Source organism: Homo sapiens, chromosome 2 (assembly GCF_000001405.40).
Source record: "Homo sapiens chromosome 2, GRCh38.p14 Primary Assembly".
In the NCBI taxonomy this organism is placed as follows: Eukaryota; Metazoa; Chordata; class Mammalia; order Primates; family Hominidae; genus Homo; species Homo sapiens.
The window spans coordinates 63,857,721-63,879,339 of NC_000002.12; the positions used below are offsets into that span (position 1 = coordinate 63,857,721).

The 21,619-nt window shown below is 37.7% G+C and overlaps 1 protein-coding gene across 9 annotated transcripts in view; it reads left to right on the top strand.

Moving 5' to 3' along the window:
* UGP2 (UDP-glucose pyrophosphorylase 2) overlaps positions 1-21,619 on the top strand; it is a 50,592-nt gene that overhangs the window by 16,752 nt on the left and 12,221 nt on the right. For 7 of the 9 annotated variants that reach the window (NM_001377529.1, NM_001377525.1, NM_001377526.1 and 4 more), the window contains one exon: positions 109-216. The exons of 1 other annotated variant lie outside the window; for it this stretch is intronic. Coding sequence is in view for 5 of the 8 variants with exons in the window: in NM_001377525.1 (NP_001364454.1) it covers positions 109-216 (108 nt within the window). In the remaining 3 variants the exon portion in view is untranslated. Of the gene's footprint in view, positions 1-108; positions 217-5,120; positions 5,209-21,619 lie in introns of all 9 variants that reach the window. One more of the 9 variants, NM_001377528.1, reaches the window with a different exon arrangement.

Sequence of the window (21,619 nt, forward strand, 5' to 3'; positions counted from 1 at the left end):
AAGAATTTCATTTAACGATATTTTAAATGTGTAACTTGTATCTGTCTTTATGTTTTTATTAAATATTAAGCATTCTGCTGGTTGTAACAATGACTTCTATTTTCACAGCACACCAAAAAAGACCTGGATGGATTTCGGAAGCTATTTCATAGATTTTTGCAAGAAAAGGGGCCTTCTGTGGATTGGGGAAAAATCCAGAGACCCCCTGAAGATTCGGTAAGTTTTAGATAAAATGTAGGAAAATGTAGGGTAATCTTGGGCACTGGTTTTAACTTAGGACGGTTGGGTAGTGTAGGGGACCTATAACAATCATGTGAGACAAGACAGGACTTGCTTTGAATTCTCTGACCCCTCATCCTGAAACTATGGAGACAGCCTTCAGCTCCTTTCCCTTCTTTTAGACCTCTGAGTCTTGCTGAGGTCCTCTAACAGTCTGATCTCCCTGTGGCAGTACCCAGTATCCCTGGATATGAAATGACTTTTGCAAAGCACTAAATATCCCATAAGAGCTTCGTTTACTTTGTTTCTTCCTTCTCTCTCCCAAAACATTTGATTTCTCATTGCCCGTAGGGTCATGGATGCTTAGCCAGACCTTAAAGCTCTCTTCTTGTATTTTATTGGAATACAGCTTCACTCATTAATTTATATACTATTTATCATAGCTTAAGCTAATGAATCTCTCTTGTTTTTTCCTAATGAGAAAATTATATATATAGTTCCTAGTTAGAGGTACGTTTATTTGCATATGTGGAAAATGTCTTTCAGTTCTTAATGTTTTAAAAACTATACATAACATTCTCACTATAAAAAAAAAAGCTAAAAAATAAAAATCTCACGTAATGTTCTCTCTGAGGAGCCTCTTATTTTTGATGTTAAAGCTAAAATTCCTCTTGGCTGTAATGCTTAACAGTTACAATATGCATTTTTTTTTAGGGTCTATTTTGGTCTTTAATTTCCTTGACCCTAGTGAATGAATTGTGATTTATTTTTCTACTTTTAAGTAGTAGATTTAATAGTATTTTCTTCCAAGAAAGAGTTAGAATTCTTCTGGATAGGTATGTTGTTTAAGAAAATAAGTAGGTGTAAATTCAGTCAGATTCTTAAAAATGTTTGGGAACAGCCTAAAATTATAATAAATTTAGGCACTATTTATTCCCACACCCCCCCGCCCCCCCGAAACACTTATAACTTTTGCTTAGGAATTACCCTAATTTAAGTAACCTCACTTATATAATTTATGATGGACCTGGGTGTAGAAGTGTAGTTTCCTTTTTTCTTTTTTCTTTTTTTTTTTTAGACAGTCTCACTCTGTCACCCAAGCTGGAGTACAATGGCATGATCAAGGCTCATTGCAGCCTCTATTTCCCTGGGCTTGTGTCCTCCCACCTCAGCCTCCTGGATAGCTGGGACCACAGGCATTTACCAACATGTCTGGCTAATTTTTGTATTTTTTTTGTAGAGATGGGGTTTCGCCATGTTGCCCAGGCTGGTCTCAAACGTCTGGGCTCGAGCAATCTACCTGCCTTGGCCTCCCAAAATGCTGGGATTACAGACATGAACCACTGTTCCTGACAGTGGTTTTGGTCTTAATTCTTGCTTGCAGACCTGGGAATTTTTTGTTTTCTACTGTACAAACTTAACTTTTCGGAGACAGAGCCTACTTGAAGGAAGGTACGCAGATTTATTATGTTCAATATATTTTAGGGTTCAAGAATTAGTTTTTTTCAGTGGAGAAATCTATCTTTTGTACTTTGAGAGATCATGATATATAGTAGGGATTCTTGAAGTGGGGGTCAGAGGGTGGAGAAGGAAGGAGAAGAGGAATCATGGGATTTTTTCGGTTCAGTACTACCCTACCCCATTCCCAGGAAAGTTCTGATAAATTCTTTCAGGAGGCTATGCCCATGTAGTGAGCCATAGTTACTGATAGTAATACAGAATTGATATAGGACAAAAGAATAGAAATATAAAATAAATTCTAGATGTAACATGATTTTATGCCGTCTTTTTCTGTTTATAAAAGTGTAAGTCTTCATTAAAAGTGTCTTTATTTTGAAGCATAAGTTTTAAGCTTCTTCAGAAAATGTATTTGCAATCCCATATGCCCTTAATCTTGAAAATTTTGGAATGCAGAGGCAAAAAATAAGTTTGCTCTTCAACTACGTCATGAGTTTCTTGAGGGCACAAATGTGTTTTATATACGATATGCATGTTACCAGCTTTTGCAGATAGTTCTGAGAATACAAATCTTGAGCTAATGTTTGTTCACCTTGGTTCTTTTGGATTCCTCCTTCTAGCCTCCTCGTCCTACTCTTCTCTTTCCCATAGGTTTCCTTTCTCAGGTCTTAGAGATTATTATAGAGATCAATTTTCCTTTCAAAATGTAATTTTTAAAAGTGAACATAGGTCTTTTTTTAAAAAAAATGCAAATAATATTTTATATTCCTAAGTAAAAAGAAATTACTGTGGAAGAACAGCCATTTAGAGTAACATTTCTCATGTCAGCCTTATATCAAAGGTGTGACATAAACATTGTCATACCAGTGGATCTATATTTTTGTGTATGAGTTGACAATTAGCAGAGTCAGCCACCTGGTTTGTAAGTAAAGTTTTATTGGAACACACCCACACATTCATTTATGTATTGTCTATAACTGCTTTTTTGCAACAATGGCAGAGTTGAATAGTTGGAGTGGAGACAGTATGGCTTGTAACAAAACCTGAAATACTTATTATCTAGCCTATTTACTGACCCCATTTTAGTGTATGTATTTTCAGAACATCTTTGGTAGCTTTCTTTATTTCTTTGGCCCTCAGAAAACTGACCTCATATGCCTTTGTCATTTCAGATGATCACTTTTAATTTTTATCTTTATTTTTTATTTTCTTTTAGAGATGAGGTCTTGTTCTGTCACTCAGGCTGGAGGGTAGTGGCACAGTCATAGCTCACTACAGCCTCGAACTCCTGGGCTCAAGGGATCCTCCTGCCTCAGCCTCCTGAGTAGGCAGGACTACAGGCATTGTGCCACCAGGCCCAGCTAATTTTTTTTTTTTTTTTTTTTTTGTAGAGACAGGGTCTCCCTATGTTGTCTAGGCTGGTCTTAAAGTCCTGGCCTCAAGTGATCCTCCTGCCTTAACCACTTTTTAGATAAAAATAGTTTTTCATAAATACTAGATTGAAGGACATATTTTATAGATAGGCATTGAAATTTTATATTGTGAGGTTTTACTCGTTCTTACCTTTTGTGTTGAATGCTTTGTTTTAGCTCTCAGTGAGTACATAGATGTTTTGTGAGAAGTCTTTTGAGTTCATGTTTTATGAATTATGGCTAATAAGAACCCAGTTTATAGCGTTATGGATAATGCTCTGCTCCTTCTTTGTAAATGTTAACTAAATGTAATAATAAGATTATCTTGATATTTAACTACATAAGTAAAAAAATTTTTATATATATATAAAGGTTAATGTTTTAAATTAGAGCAAGAAAGGACAAGCCAGCATATGTAGCTTATTTGACCATTTCATTGTTTTCCAGAGAGGTTATGAGAGTGTCTTGGTCTTGGCCAAGCTTACACGTTGGGCATGGACAGGGATGGGAAATAGATCAGAGTTACGAGGAAGTACGGGGCCTGTTCAAGAAGGTATTGGAGCTGACGAGTTCTCTTGAGCGCTAATTTAAAACCTGTTGAAGTCACATGGCTGGCACTGACCCCTGGTGGTGATGTATTTTCATTTCTATACAAAATATTCTCTAAAGAAGGCTTTTTTACCAGCACAGGCAACATAGACCTCACCTCTACAAATTTTTTTTTTTTAGTTAGCTGTGCATGGTGGCATCTACCTGTAGTCCCAGCTACTTGGAAGGCTGAGGTAGGAAGATCACTTGAGCCCAGGAGTTTGAGGCTACAGTAAGCTATGATATCACCACTGCACTCCAGCCTGGGCAACAGAGTGAGATCCTGTCTCAAAAAAAAAAAAAAAACAAAAAAACGACTTTTTCATTTCAATATTTAATAGGATCAAAAGAGTGAAGGTATATTTGTGAACAGGGAGGAGTTATGTAGGGTCATAGGGTAGAGAATTGGCATGAAGAGAATAGCATGCATCAATGTGGTATTTAGCTCCAATGGATTTTTTGTTTTGTTCCATAAAATTGCTGAGACTTTTTCTTAGTCTATCAATACAAAAAACATTAAAAGCTATTGTTTATTTATAAGGAAGTCTGAGGAAGTTACAGTTTATGTGTGCAGAGTACAGATACATAGCATTTTTTTTTCTGAAGGTGAACCGTAGTACACTGTGCATTTAAAGTTTGCACATTAAAAGAAAAAAATCTTGAGGCAATCTGGCCAAGCATCTGATATAGTATGCCATATAGGATGATTTGCTTTGAGCATGTGAAGATTTCCCAGCTGCAACTAGCCAATGATAAAGCCATTAGAGACTTGTTTTGTGTGTATGTGGAGATACACACACAAATGAGATTCTAAAAAGTATTCCACAAAAAGGAATTAGTGGCATTTAAAGAAATGGCTCTGAGGACATGGCTGAATACCAAAGAGTCTCATCATTTCTTTGACATAAAGTTTTAAAACAGTAATATATAGAAATACTGACACTAAGCAGACATACTAATTTAGCAAATATTGCCAAAGCTTCAACTTTTGATTTCATGATGAATTGAACAGTTTTTGAATTTCCCTCGGGATTACCTTCCTTCACATTCCTTCGTGTACAGGACTTTCAGAAATGGGGACCTGATAAAGGAACTGACAACAAGCCCATGATTATTAATTCCATACTGGTTACATGTCTATAATTTCACTTTAGAAATAGCAATAGCAAATACATGGAACTTTAATGGCAGTTACATATTTGATTTGATAGACTCCCGGTTTTATTGTTGGACCAGGGTCTCTAACTACTGCCTTTGTGTCCAAAGTAGAGGACAGTCCAGTCCCACAGAATTGAATTCATTAGGAAAATCAGAGTGTGGGTTTAGGTGGTAATACTACTATTTGAACATTGCCAGTCCCTCCAATTCCAATTTCCACCCCACAGAGAAAGTATGGTGTTAAAGAAATGGTGTTAAAGTTTCTGAAACTTCTTTTGCCCACAGGCAGGCTAACAAGAAGGGAGATACAAGATGATTTTAGTAAAGAGTCCTTTACTAAGGACTTTACTGGAACAGATTGTGACGTAAGCAGGTTGGTATTTGGAACTCCATTTCTGTTAGCATACCTTTCCAGCTCCCTGAGTCATCTACCTTTGTCCTTTCTAATCATACTAAAGTGGAGTGTTCTTTTAAAACTATCTTCTTAGCTGATAAGGATATGGGTCAGATGTTCCACAAGGTTGACTAATTTTATGACTTCAGCTGACTTCTATAAAAAGGTGATGAATATACATAACTGTTGGTAGTGTTTGAATTTTTTTAAACCATCTGTGTATCACTTTTACCTTTTACACTTAAAAAATACTCAGAAGTCTTTGAACTTCTTAAAATTTCTATAAAAATTCTAGATACAGTAAGGTTTAGGGAGCAGTTGGTACCTTCTCTTCATAGGTACCATCTACTTTGTAGGATCGTTTGCCATCTGTAACCACAGTGTTTTACTTATTTCTTGTTTTTTTCATCTGGGTTTTCTGCCAATTCTTTTATTGTCATCTCTTCTCTAGTTTTCCAGGTTTAAAGTGCACAGTTGGGAGCATTATAATTTTACATCTCTTTAGCATTTTGGAAATTGCTACAATTTTTAATGAAAGGGCAGTAGTTACATGAGTTTGAGAGGCAAATATATCAAGAGGAAGAAATAAAATGCTGTAAGTAGGTTAACACATGAGCATTGAATAAGTGAGAAGCAACTTACAATATGTGTTTTAAAATCAACTTTTAATTTTAGAATAGTTTGATTTACAAAAAAGTTGCAAAGATACACTATTTTTAACTAGAAACATTATAAAGCTATCCAAGCTAATTTGTTACTGTATCTCATTTTTAAAATTCCCACTGAGTCAAAGGAAGGACAAGGTAATAACTAAGAGTACTGATGGAATTTTTCTTTCAAGGTCAGAAGTGAAAATATATGAAAGATAGCTGAGAAGAAACTTGGATGTGCCAGGAGAATACCTGTGACTAGACTAAATATGGAAAGAAGTAGAAGTAGGCCATTAAATACAGATTTCTATTTATAGATGGGCTTATTTAAGACAAGTGTCTTCATCGTACATAGTCCTAATGCCAACAGCAGATTGGAAAATATTCTCTTATTTCAAAAGAACAAGAAACACCATTTCAAAGGGTTTTTTGGTTTTTAATGAAGCAAAGCTTTAAGCATTTTTCCTTTTTTAAAACTTTGTAAAAAGCTGTGTATGCAAAGCTCTATATTCTGTAGTTAATGATTATTGCCAGTGTTTGGGTACTGACATGTCAGGCTTTGTGCTGAATCCTTTATGTTTGTGATTTCATTTAATATTCATAACAGACCTGGAAGATAGGTACTGTTATGTCATTTTACAAAAGAGGAAACTGAAGTTCAGAGTAAGTCACCTAAGAGAAGGGGCCCTGATGAACCAGGTGTAGATAGTCAGGCCCTAAGACCTGGTTCTTTGGTATCCTGTAGTAACAACAAGGAGTACATCCCTATGTTTATCTCTAGTGCACAGAATGTGGCATATTTTATGTGCTTATCAACAACAGTAGTAATAACAATAGCAACAAACATTTATTCAGCACTAATAAGCATTCTTCTCAACTCTTCTACATGTGTTTTCTTACATGATACTCAGATAACTCTAGGAGCTCACTGTTATCCTTTTTTTCATAATGCAAGACACAGTGGGGGCTGAGAGGGATTGAGTTATCCACACAATTTTCCTTAGCTAATAAGGCAGAATTTAGGCCCAGGTCTACCTGAGCCCGCATTCCTAATCACTATGATGTATTGTAGAACACCCACCAGTTACCACCAGTGTTTGAAAGAAACTTGAAAGTCTTTAAAGTATGGCCTTTCCATCAGTTCTCCATCTTTGGGTAGAGTAGAGCAGGCTCCATTCCTTCCTTTAGAGCCTAAAATACCCTCACTTCTCTTTGAAGTTCTTCCCACGATACATTTAACAAATATTTATTGACTAGCTACTGTGTGATAGGCACTGGGCACTGAGATACAAGTGAACAAGATAGTCAAGGGCCTAATACTAACAGAGCTCTATTCTAGTGGGAGAGATAAAACATAAATTCATAAATAAGTAAAATAATTTAGAAGACTAATTTCCCATCACTGCTCTTCTGGCCCAGGCTTACCCCCAACAGTCACATCTCCCTGTCTGAAGTACTTTTTTCTGATTTATCTGTAGTCACTATGTGAGGCTGTCGAAGTCTCCTTTATTCATTACATTTATTCTACAGACCTATCAAATACCCACTGTTTTATTTTAATTATTGGGAATGCAAAAATAAAGACAGTCACTCCCCTCAAAGAACTTAAAATTTGGACCATACAGTGTTTCCCAAATTTTCCCGTAGAAAATGAGTAGGGTAAATGTAAGAGGCCGTTTAGTTGGGAAGGAGGCTGTGGCTGCCTCCAGCCCTGCCCAGCTGCCTAGAGGGCTGAAGGAATCAATAACACAGGCATGCAATAGCAAGCCAGTTCAGAACTTTTGGTTTAGTGAGGAGATGTTTGCACAAAAATATGTTTATTGTGCAACTGAGTAATAGCTATGAATGTGGTTCAGGAGATATTTCACTAACAGGCTTCTACCTAGAGAGAATGAATAACTGGTGTTCTCCATTCTCAGAATGCTTGGGTCTATTTTTTTTTTTTTTTTTTTTTAAAGAGACAGGGTCTCACTCTGTTGCCCAGGCTGAAGTGCAGTGGTGTGACCATAGCTCATTGTTACCTTGAACTTGTGAACTCAAGGGATCCTCTTGCCTCGACCTCTTGAGTAGCAGGGACTACAGGCACGTGTCAGCATGCCCACCTAATTTTCAAATTTTTTATAAAGACAAGGTCTCGCTGTGTTACCCAGGCTGGTAACTCCTGGGCTCAAGCGATTCTCCTACCTAGGTCTCCCAAAGTGCTGGGATTGTAGGTGTGAGTGACCTCACCTGGCCTTGGGTCTACTTTTTATTATGCATATGTTCTCCCACCAAAGTGAGTGGCTTGCTTACCGAAGTCAGTTGTGCTTGTTCTCAAATGTGTTCATGCTAGTTATCTTGGTTATAATGACATAATATAATTAAATTTTATACAAACTAGTGAAATGGGTTTAAAAAAGCTCTTTCTAAGAAAACTGAATTGAATGCTTTGGGAAACTTGGATAAAGAGTAATAGCAAAAAAAAATGTTGAATAGGTGTGACAACTAAGAAAGACTGGGAAAATTTCATAAATCTAGAATGATTCTTCTGCATGCAGATTGTTTCACAAATGTCTAAGCTCTTGGTCCACTTGGAAGAAACTGAAACTGAAAATCACAGAATGTATATTATTGATGTGGTTTATTTAAGAAAGATGACACACAGCTCTGGGTCAACAGATTCGTGCTATAAATAAGGAAAAGACCCTGGTGAATGAATGTAGACTTATTTGTAAAAAGTTAAAACAGTTAATGTGTCTAAAACTTTTTCATGATTCTATGCTTGCACTTATTTTTAAAATTAACTGACTACTTGTTCAGATGTTCTAAATAATTAAATAAGTGGGTTTCTGGTATATGTGCTCAGTGTAGCAGGAGAAGGAGCAGCTGGTGAGTTGGTGAAGTCCTAATCAAGTTAAGGATAAGAGGTAATGTTAGAGCTGAGACTTGAAGTATGAGTAAGAGTTTGCCCAAAAAATCAGGGGTAGATACTCCAGGTTTAAGAGAATGTGGTATGCAGATACTCCAGGTTTAAGAGAATGTGGTATGCAAAGGCCCACAGGCATGAGAGAACAGAACGTGCTCTAAGAACTATAATTTTTATAGTACTCCTGGAGAATAAGAATGCAAATAGGTGGGAAATGAGGGTAGGCAAGGTAGTGGGGGCCATGCTGCAAGCTCATTGTCAATTGGGGGATCATTTTGGCTGAAATAAGATGCTGGAAAACACAGGATGGACGATCCTATGCCTTATAGCAGTCTAGGCGGATGCATTTTTTAGGAAGCAAGTAGGGAGTAGCTGTGCTTTAAATTCCTCAGTGTGAAACCCCAAATTACATAGGAAATACAGATTTCTCGTGGTTCTTGGTCACTGTTACTGAAATGGCTACTTTGACATTTACCTGTTTTTAAATTTTTTATTTTTAACACCATTTCTCAGGGATAGCTGAGCTTGTGGTTTAATTTCTGTATATTTATGTTGTTTATTGTGTGAATTTTTATAGTTTTAAAATCCCTAATTTTATGATAGAGAGCTATAATATTCTTAACCAAGTGCACAGTCAACAGGTATCTGAGAAATTACTTCAAGCTCTATGTAAATCACTAAAAAATCCTACCATTACAAAGACCACCTACATATACATTTTGAATTCATTCTGCCTTCAGTGTATTTAACACTTTTTTTTCCAATTTGTTAGTAATGGCAGTGAGATAAAAAGGCTTAAGAGATTTGTCCTAGCCTCATTACTCCTTAACCATGTAACATTGGGCAAGTTATTTAACTGCTTTAAGTGTCGGTTTCCTTACTCATAAAAAGTAGAAATAATAAAAGAACCTACTTTATAGGATTTTAGTGAGGATTATTAACAATATTCATAAAAGCATTTACTGTGTGCCAGGCATTTTGGCAAAGGCTCAACCACAGCAAAGGATGCTATCGTTACACATTCAACAAATATTTATGAAGTACCTCCTCTATGTCAGGTATTATGCTGGGCACAGTAAAAACAATGGAATTAAGAGTCTAGATTGTGCTTTTTAAAATTCTGTGACTTTCATATTTATTCTTTGCCTTTGGTTTTAAATATATTTTTATATGTTTGTTATCAGTGTACTTAATTTGATGTATGTTTCATTTATGATTCATGAATAATTTAATACTTTGTTTTTATTTTTAGCAAGATATCCTATCAAGTAGAAGAACCATATTTACATTCTTATAATTTTCTTTATCAAATGTGTTGTTAGTCTGCAGTTTTCATTGTATTAAATAACTCATCTAGCCTAACAAATTTTTGTTATTGCAAAGATACACTTTAGCTAATTCTTTAAACTTCAGGATTGCAGGAGGCCTCTAGTCTGTCAGGTCAATGAGAATAAACAACATTATGAACATGCTTAGGTGACTATTTTGTTTAATGAGTTTTATTGAAGGATATCTAGATTCACATACTGAAAGCCCTAGGTTATATGTAGAATTACCTTTAACCAGCAACTCCAACCATGTTTATAGGTTTTATGTCTACCAAACTCAAGATAAATGTAAGAGGTAGGCCTTGTCTTAGAGGACTATTGTAGCTATTAAAATAATTAAGTACCCGTTTTCATATTGTATGGAGGTGGAGATGTTTAAAGAGTTGGTGTGTGTTCATTATGTGGTGTTTAGTGGGCCAAGGAGGCTTTGCACAGTGTCCTTGGCATTAAGTTGTCAAAATTTGGGTGAAATTTTAGGAAGGATGGTTGATGGCCATCATAGGATCTTTGATCATCTATCATTAAGCATGGCAAAACCTTGGAAATGTCTTTTCTTAATTTTTTGATGGTGGAAAATAAGACAGTGGATTCAGTTAATCACTTGAAGGAAATATTGTAGTTCACGGTAGTGTGAGCATATCAGCTCCTGTTACTTCTGGGGATTCTCTTATAGTTGGGTAGGTTGGTTCTGATTTTTTCCTGTTATTAAAACCGTGTAATGAATATAAAACTTTGCATTTCTGAATTTTCTAAGAATAAATGTTCAGAAATGGTGTTTTCTTCAGAGGATATGCACTTTTTAAAGGTTTTGTTTTGTATTTCTGATTGTTTTTTAAAAAGAGTATATCAGGCTGGGCGCGGTAGCTCACACCTGTAATCCCAGCACTTTTAATCCCAGCACTTTGGGAAGCTGAGGCGGGCAGATCACCTGAGGTCAGGAGTTCGAGACTAGCCAACATGGTGAAACCCCATCTCTACTAAAAATACAAAAATTAGCCGGGCGTGGTGGCATGTACCTGTAATCCCAGCTACTTGGGAGGCTGAGGCAGGAGAATCACTTGAACCTGGGAGGCAATGAGCTGAGATCACGCCATCGCACTCTAGCCTGGGCGACAAGAGTGAAACTCCATCTCAAAAAAAAAAAAAGAAAGTATATCAATTTGCACTCCCATTCATATTAATTTGTTGGTCCAACAGCTGTTTTTTGAGCACCAACTGTATGTATATTAGTAGAGAACCATAATGATAAAACCCTCCATTCATCTAGTTTCTAGTTTACAATCTAGTAAAGAAGTGGACAATAAAAAATATGTAACGTGATTTCAAGTAGCGGTAAGTGAATGAAGAAAAAGAAAGATGAACAGAGAATGAAGGGGTAGAGGTAATATTTTAGATAGGCTGGGTAGAGAAGGCGTCTCTAAGTTGACATTTGAGTAGAGACCTACAGTCTGTTTTATTGCCAATCTCACTGTATTTATTAAAGCATTTAATATTATCACTTTAAAACATATTTGCCAGTTGAGATGAAAAATATTTTTAAATTTCTAGATTTTTCTTTGATTTTTATTTATTAGCAGGTTGATCTTTTTTCCATTGGCTGTTGTATTAACTGCTGTTTGAAACATTTAATAGAGAACTAACCTTTTATTTGTAGTAATTGGTCATTGGATTTTGAATTGCTATGATGCTTTAATATAACAAAAAGGCACACTATTCAAGTTTGGCTTCCTAGAGAGGACAGCGCAAAATTTAGGCTGAAAATGAGTGACTTTTATGATTCTGGCTCACAAATACGTGGTTTTTGCTTAGAGTTTTACTAAGGCTGACTTTAGTAACTGAAGTAGCAGATTATATTGAAGGATATTGAGCATGAATGATTGTGTTAGTACTGGTGTATGTAGCTGTTTGGAGGACAGTGTTGGTGCCAAGATTTCTAACTAGCTCTTTGAAAAGACCTCTTTACTTACATGTAAAAATGTTACAAATTTTTGCCTTTGGACTGTGAGGACTCATCCATCACTGGAAAAATTGCCTTCGTGTTTTCCTTTCCATAGTGTTAGTAACATTTATTTTAGAGTAATTAAAATTAATTTTTTTTTTTTTTTTTTGAGACAGAGTCTCGCTCTGTCACCCAGGCTGGAGTGCAGTGGCGCAATCTCGGCTCACTGCAAGCTCCACCTCCTAGGTTTACACCATTCTCCTGCCTCAGCCTCCTGAGTAGCTGGGACTGTAGGCGCCGGCCACCATGCCTGGCTAATTTTTTGTATTTTTAATAGAGATGGGGTTTCACCATGTTAGCCAGGATGATCTCGATATCCTGACCTTGTGATTCACCTGACTCTGTCTCCCAAAGTGCTGGGATTACCGGTGTGAGCCACCGTGCCCGCCCCTAAAATTAATTTTTAAAAACCCCAAAGATTTGGGAGTTAATAGCTGGGAAAATAAAAATATGTACTTGATCTGATAGTTTGCTTTGCTTATAATTTATAAGTGGTAGAAGACAAAAAACTTTCTTAGGAAATTTGCTTTTCCGGGCTTGTGATATGTGATTGTTCATTCTATTTGTTTATTATAGGGGGATTGCTTTGTAATTCCTGTACTAATTTTATGACCTATAAAATTTCTTATGCAAAACAAAGTTTTCTATTTAGGTTTTCTTTCATCAAACTTGTATATAACGTCTATTGATCCAGTATTTTATTTTTTGAATTAAAGTAGTGGGTGGTTGTAATCTGGTTTCTAATCAGTGATCAAACCACTTTTATTTTAAACTAAGGATTTAAAAGTAGGACAAGAAATAATTTTCAGAGAACAGATTTCATTAATTAATAGCCGTTTGTTTTATTCATTTATTCGCTTATTCACAAATGTTTGAGTGCTGCCAACGCTGGGGAGCTAACCTGTTCGTTTAAAGATGATGAATATGGTGGGGAGTATCAGGTGGAAGTTTCTGCCCTTATGGAGTTTACAGTCTTATAATAGAGCCAGAGAACTTAGCAGACAGTTTGGAGACTGTAAGAATTGCTGTGATAGGAGGCGGTAGCTCCCAAAGCCAAGAGCTGCACCAGATTCACTACTAGGGCTGAGGGTCACAAATGGCTTCTAAAGGAAGTGATAGTTTTGCCATTTGGTTCTTGAACTCCTTGATGGGGCATACATGTGTGACTGCACATACACACACAAAATATTTTTTAAATTAAATTTTAAATTGTAAAATACACATAACATAAAATTTACTATCTTAATTATTTTAAAATGTATCCTTCAGTGTTGTTAAGTATATTTTTATTATTTGGCAACCAATCTTCAGAACTTTTTCATCTTGTAAAACTGAGACTCTGTAGCATTAAAGAACAGTTCCCCATTCCCTTCTACCCCCTCTCCCCTAATCCCCTGGCAAGCACCATTCTGGTTTCTGTCTGTATGAATTTGATTACTTTTGATGACTCACTAGTGGACAAAAGCCTTTTTTTTTTCCTCCTTGCTCTTACTGCCCAGGCTGGAGTGCAGTGGTGCAATCTTGGCTCACCGTAACCTCTGCCTCCCAGGTTCAAGCAATTTTCCTGCCTCAGCCTCCTGAGTAGCTGGGATTACAGGAATGCGCCACCATGTCTGGCTAATTTTTGTACTTTTAGTAGAGACGGGGTTTTGCCGTGTTGGCCAGGCTGGTGTTGAACTCCTGACCTCAGGTGATCCGCCCGCCTCGGCCTCCCAGTGTGCTGGGATTACAGGCGTGAGCCACTGTGCACGGCCACAAAAACCTTTTTAAATCTCAAGTTTTCTTTCTGTTGTTTTGAAAATTGCCTGATTTCTGTTACCAATTACATATTACTGGTTTTGCTTTCCTGGAGAAATTTGAGAACATACAAAAGCCTAGGGGGTTGTTTATATGGCAGCGTTCTTGCCAGTGGAAGCACGAAGCCAACATATAGCCTTAGTTAGAGAGACCCTCTTTTCTCTGGCCATCCTGAGGCGTCTCAGGCAGTATGGAGCTATTTTAGGAGAAGAAGCATGGTTTGAAAAGGGAGAAATATTATCAAAGCTTGGGTTTTTTCCAGAAGGCTTTCTTAAATCAGGGGTTGGCAAACGTTTTCTGTAAGGGGCAGATAGTAAATATTTTAGGTTTTATAGGCCATACAATTTGGGGATGATTACTCAATTCAGCCATGGTAGCATGAAAATAGCCGTAGACTATATGTAAACGAATGAGTATGGCTATGTTCCAATAAAACTTTATGAAAACAAGTGGCAGCTCTCACAGACCATAGTTTGTTGACCTCTGTCTTAACATCCTCAGGCTACACATGACTGGAGAGAAACTTTGGCTGAAGCCCATGTCTGGGAGATCATTCAGCTAGTTCGTGACTTGAAACCTAGAAATTCAATACTATATTTCATCAAATTTGGGCCATTGATTATAAGTTACACCTTTTATGTACCACTAATAAAGAAAAGAAATCAACCAATTAATTGTAAGAACCTATTGGTTATATGGTGGATCCTGCTTTCAGAGATGTTAAAATGTTGGGTACGGGTGAGGGAGTGTGTCTGAATCAGTGAAGTAGTAATAATATCAGCCAACATTTGAATATTTACTGTGGGGCCAGGCACTTTGCTAAGCACTTTATATGCATTATCTCATTTATCTTCATAACGAATTAATGAAGTAAATGAAAAAGACTTAGAGCAGTTAAATAATTTGCCATAGTAAGTGGTAGATTCTAAGAAACCCAGGTAGCCTGGCATTAAAGCCTGTGTTCTCTCTCACTTACTATATTTTACTGTCTCATTTGATTTAAAAGGAGGCTTTTTGTCAAATGATATCATTCATGCTGGAATTGATGTAGTTTATTGAATCGGGTCACGGAGGAAACAGCAACTACATAATTTCCCTTTAGCATGTCCTTGGAATTTCAGACATTTCTCACTGCAGCCAGCTATTGCATGCCAGTGCCCTCAAAAAAAAAAAAAAAAGATTTATGAACCTCTTCTGAAAGTGTTTTTTAAATGATAACATGTCTAAGCCAAGCAAAACATGCTGGACGAGGTGTTGGTGCTCTGTATGCCAGTAGAGTGTCTGTGATGCTAGCCAGCACTTCTGGTCCTGCTGCAGAGGAGGAGAGTGAGCTCCACGTATTACTGTAATTCACCTTCTTCTGCATCCGTGAGCCTTACATCCAGGATGGTGCAATCCTGTATGAATGATGCAGACTTCTGCAAAGATGACCTTATTGACTTTCAAAGATACAGGACACACATGAACCACTCAGCTCTCAGTCTTAGAGAATTCTGGTGTTTGTAGCACAGGCTGCATACAACTAACAGAACAAAAGTTGTGGAAGCTTGCTTTTGAGCACATTAGGGTTTTCAGCACTTGTGACCATCAAAAAGAAAAGTCAAAATGGAATGGCAATTAAAGATGGTATGCACGTAATCATCTCAAACCACATCACAGCATCAGCTTCTTATTCAAGCCAAACAGAAGCCTTCTCATTGAAACTTAGTTTGGAGAGAGGTAAAGTTTATTTTTTACTCTATTTGCACATTAATTTTCACTGGGAAATGAATGACTTCTGTTACTAAGATGAATTTTATATTCTGTGAATGACATTTCCAATGTAGTGAAGTAAATTGTAAGCAAACATTTTGTTTTTTTGGGGGTGGTGAACTAGTCTGAAAGAGGCTCCATTTTTTTATCTTCGCAAGTACCCGTTGGCTCATAAAGCCTGTAAATCGCCGGTCTTAGCTGAGATGTGGAAGAGAAAGAAAAAGTAGTTGGTGAAATGAAGTTGTATGAGAGGAAAAAGCGCAAGGCCTTACAAGCAAGAGATGTGGTATGTTAGAGAACCCAATGCTCCATGTTCCTGGAGCAGCGTGTTAGGGGGAGTAGAAGAAAGAGTGGAAGGTAAAAAAGGTCAAATCATTAAGGACCTTGCAAACCCTATCTTCCGCTTAGGATTAGATTCAGCTACATAGGATAGAGAAACCCAGAATAACACAGTAGATCTGGAGAGAGGCAATCCAGAGTTAGTAAGACAATTATGTGGTAATCAGAAACTTGGGCTTCTCTGTCTGGCTGCTCTGCCACCCTTATCTCCTCATTGTCCAGATGGCCACCAGAATGAACACTATTCATCATGCCTCTAGTCCAAACAGCAGGAAGAAGGAAGATGGCACAGACCCTGCCCTTTCACAGAGACTTCCTGGAAATCTTTTAATTCACTTCTAGTTAATCATATTGACCAGAACTTTGGCACAAATAGCTGCAAGGGAGGCTGGAAATTGAGTCTTTTATTCTGGATGGCAGTGTGCCCAGCTGAAAGTCAGGGTTCTAAAGTGAAAGGGGAAAAAAATGATGTTGGGGTAGGCAGCTAATAATCTCTGCCATGCCATGCCAGTGCTTTATTTTATGAATGATGCAATAAGGAGGGAAACATGCTCAAATTCTTTTTTAAAAGACTGCCACTTGAGAGATGGAGGGTGGGTTGGAAAGAGGTAAAGGATCATAGAGACCACTGCAATAACACAGGTCATGAGAGTGACAGGACTTGGTCATTGATCACATATGAGCAGGCTTCTGTCTTAGCAGCCGAGTATGTTATATTGCCATAGAGACAGGAGTAATTGAAGCTGACTGCGTAGAAGAGGAGGTCTACTTAGAATGAGATTTTCAAGGAGCAGGCAGAAAGAGGAGGAAAACAGAGTATGGTGTTTCATAGGTCAAGGGGAATAGAGCACTTCAAGGTTTAGGGACTGGTCTGTTGTGTCAGATGTATCTGAGAGTGCAGATAAGAAGTACTGATGTTATTGATAGGATTTAGCAACTTAGCAGAGTGGGAGGTGTTTGGGTCATGGGAACGGATCCCTCATGCATGGCTTGGTGCTGTCCTTGTGGTAATGAATGAGTTCTCGTTTCATTAGTTATAGTGAGAACTGATTGTTTAAAAAAAAAAAAAGCCTGGTACCTCCCTCCCTTTTTTTCTTGCTTCCCACCATGTGATCTCTACAAACCAGCTCCCCTCTGCCTTCCACTATGAGTGGAAGATTCCGGAGGTGCTCACCAGAAGCAGATGCTGACACCATGCTTCTTTCTTGTACAGCTTGCAGAACTGTGCACCAAATAAACCTCTTTTCTTTATAAACTGCCCAGCCTCAGGGATTCCTTTATGGCAACACAACCAGACAAAGACATTATTCTAGGTATGACTTTTCTGTTATAAAGTAAATTTGTAGGATCTTTCAAATGATCCAGATTTTGGTTATTACCTTTAGAAATGTGAAATAGACAATACATGAAAGTGACTAGCACAGAATTTGGCACACAAACCCTGTGCAGTAGCAGTAAGGGTTTAGTGAATAAGCCAGTGTTCTTGGAACACTTTCTGTACATATGGAGTGGCATTCCTAATTCGTTAACTGTTTACACAGCTCATTTTCCTTCAGGCAAACTTGCTTTTGTTGAAAAAAAATTCTTTCAGATTGCAATAATCATACCCTTGTGAAGCATACAGGGCAGGTACTGTTAGCTTGCTTTGGGTGTTTGGCAGTGTCTCCAGGAATAGCACAAATATGCTACCAAGAACTGGGTTATCCTATTACTAATGGGAACAGTGTGTCTATGACTGTGTGATGAATTTGGCTTTTCTTCTAACTGGAAACTAAGTTGTGAACAAACTTGGCAAGGTACAGATCATGGTAGATAGTTTTAAAAAGATCTTTTTAAAAATCTCATTCCACTTTCTGCAGAAAAACTAGATTGACATCCTAGAGGGCTGAATGTTGTTTAGAGCGTGTTCTTCAGTAGATTGCCAATTAACTTTCTTTCACTTATCCCCCAGAGGATGTTAGCTATTTGGCCAATTCTTTTCCACCAGTGAGAAGAGAACATGAGTGGCCTGGCCTCCTCTGGACTTTTTGCCAGGAGCCTCATGCGGTTTGCCCCACCTCACCTATGGAGTTTCCCTCCTGTCTGTTTAGTTGCAGTAGAGGTCTTAGAACACTGAATTTTATTCATGTTTTGGGAAAGAGAGAAACAGGGTGATTAGAATTGAAAGCACAAAGATCGCACTGGTGACTGACTAAAGTGATTCAGTCAGAGTAACATTGAGGCTGTATCCAGTAGTATGTGATGTTCCCTGTGTTGTCTCTGAACACTAGCCATCTTTGCTTGAGTAAATGTCTTTGTGCATTCTCCTGGGGGAGCTAAGTAGGGAAAGTGGAAGGCAGGCCTAAAACTTGTCTCTGTGACTAGGTGTGTCCAGTGTGACTTTAGCTGTTGCTAAGCAATTTTCTAACACATATCCCCTTGGCTTGTTGAACTAAACCAAGCTCTGTGGGACTGCTTGGTTAGGTGCCTGGTAGAGGGTGTGGACAGTGTCACCAAGAGAGAACACCTCTGCTGATAATAGGGTGATTTATGTGATGGAAAGCTGTGCTTACCACCAAATTTAACATGTAATAAGCTTTAGACAGAAAGTGTCCTGGCTTCCTGGAATCAAATGACTAGTACCTTTGTGCACACCCCTGTGTCTTTTGAGGGGTGGTGGTGGTAGGGGCTGGGTATGTCAGGAAACATCAGTGAAAGACCTCCCCTGGAGGCTTCCAACAGTAACGTTATCTTGACCACTTGAAATATTTCTCCCGTCTTCATACGCTGTTACTTCTTTTTTTCCTTTCCACAGTTATTCTGAGAGTCTTCTGTGGTTAACAAATTCCTCGGCAGGACCTACATTTAATTAGCTGCTTTTAAGGGTTAGATATAGCAAGACAAGAAGGTATTATTGAAAGCACTACATAAAGAACCATGGTTCCTTGACATTTTAAGAGGTGGGGCGGCTTTCTGCCCCCTTAACTTAGCATGCAAGGTTATAAATACAACACATCACAGAGAAATCTGGCACTTACTTGAATGGTACATAAGTCTCTGTATTGTGAGTTGCCAGGGCCTGTTCCCAGAAGTCTTTATTGACTTGGTTTTTGAATTCTTAATGTTGTCCGTGGATCAGCTCATTTTATTTTATACCAAATATTTGAACAGTATTCAGAATTACATTTTAAATTCAAACTCAGTTTCTTAAGATGCCAACCTTGGGGATATTCGAGTTAAAACTAGAAGTATATTTAGTATACCTTTTGGCTGAAGGCCAAATGGCCTAGTGTTAAAATCAATATGAGGCTGAGAATCTATATCACCATCATAGAATAAGTTTTTGGGATAACAAAGAAATTGCAGTTGTTACAGTTCTATTTAGAAATTTAGTAACCAAGCTTTAAAATGTTGATGTTACAGTGCAAGAACAATAGTTCATCAGCATGGTTATCTGGTAGATTGCTTTTGCAGTCACCATAATGCACATCTATAACAGTAAATGGACTTACTTTGGTCAACGGAGGTTGTTGGAGGAGCAAGATATTTTCCAACTATTTTTGCTAGTATTGAATGTGCTGATTATGATGTAGCTGCCATGATGTCAAGTTTTCCTTCCTCTCTAATAGTAACTGACTGAAGTGAAGCTCTGTCCTCTCAGTATCCTGAGCTTGTAAATTTCATTAATTTATGGCAATGATGCCATTTCCTTGAAGTTATCTCACAAACTGAAGTTTTGTGCATGTCGACGGATAATTTCTGAATACTTTCTCATTTATATTACCTTATTTTGTGTGCGTTTTCAAAAATATTTCAGCATGCACTTGTTCCTTCACACAGTCACTTGAGATCTTACATTTTGGATCTAGAAATTTGGTGATGGAGTAATGGCTCTCATGACAAGTGTGTCTCTGAACATCAGTTTTCATTGCATAAACATAAATTTTTACATTTTCTCTAGAACAGAATGAGTGGAAGATCTTCACAGCTTGTCTTGTAAGAAGTCTGCATGCGGCCGGGCGCGGTGGCTCACGCCTGTAATCCCAGCACTTGGGGAGGCCGAGGCGGGTGGATCATGAGGTCAGGAGATCGAGACCATCCTGGCTAACAAGGTGAAACCCCGTCTCTACTAAAAATACAAAAAATTAGCCGGGCGCGGTGGCGGGCGCCTGTAGTCCCAGCTACTCGGGAGGCTGAGGCAGGAGAATGGCGTGAACCCGGGAAGCGGAGCTTGCAGTGAGCCGAGATTGCGCCACTGCAGTCCGCAGTCCGGCCTGGGCGACAGAGCGAGACTCCGTCTCAAAAAAAAAAAAAAAAAAAAAAAAAAAAAAGAAGTCTGCATGCTTAGGACACATAAGTTGGTTATTTCTTAGCAGTTCTGGCGATTGAACTGTTGTTAGTAAGTCCTGCTATGTTGGTTTTGTTACTTCCAAAGCATAATTTTGGGACTATTTTTTTGTGCAAACAGCCTATATAAAATGTATTAAGTGCTGTTCCATCTTGTATGAACATCTCATGTAAGCAGATGTTCTCTGATAGCTTGTCTTTGAAGCAGAATTATGAGAGTGGCCCACCCTCTTAGCTCATAGCCAGCAGGTGAAAAGTGTGAGTGAAACACTGAATGTTGATGATTCCTAAATCGTTCTCTCACCCTATTTGTCACTGATAATTGCATAACACTTTTGTCTTTAATATTTCTTCAATCAGGTATGTTTTTAGCATTGTTGAATTGATCATTGTATTTTGCTTTCACACTTAAAAAAGGCTCTGATTATGTCTCCATGACTAAGTACAGGAAAGAAAAGCAGCACATTTAATTTCATTAACTAAAATTTATAATAAAACTTTCCAGTAACATGTTTCTACAAGGAACTTTGTACCTAGGACTCAGAACGTGGGCAGATATTTGTTTTCTTCTACTTAAAAGGGTTGGCAGTCTATTTGTGTAGCCTCTCAGGCTCAAGCAGTCCTCCCACTCCAGCCTCCCATTGAGTACCTGGGACTATAGGTGTGCACCACCATGCTCAGGTAATTAAAAAAATTTTTTTGTAGAGGCAAGGTCTCACCATATTGCCCAAGCTGTTCTCAAACTCCTGGGCTTAAGTGATCCTCCTGCCTCAGACTCCCAAAGTGTTGGGATTACAGATGTGAGCCCTTGCATCCAGCCAGAACTTTCTATTATTTATGGTGTGTGGATCAAAGCTGATTTAGCATGAATACATATGATTTTGGAGTTCTGTTTTCTTCTGGTGAAATTTTAAGGCAGCAAGGTTGACATTTGGTTTTTAATTCATTTTCACTGGAGGTAAAAAAAAAAAAAAAGTTCCTGTTAGTACTTTTTCTTGATGACTTATGTCCTAAATCAAATTAAATAGCTCAAAATTAAACATGGTTCCTAAAGCTCACTTTGTTTAATGCTATGAATGTTAGTATACCAAACATTTCTGTAAAGATTAGAATTAAGGTGTAATCTAGAGTTTTCTGCCTCACGTTATTATTTAAATTTGTATAAATATTTGTTCCCTCAAAAAGGGAATATTTTCCTAAAGATACCTATCTAATGTACTGAGTTTTATGTTTATTGTCATTCTGTTTTCCAACTTATTGAATTATTTGAAAACATTGTTATATATAAAATTAA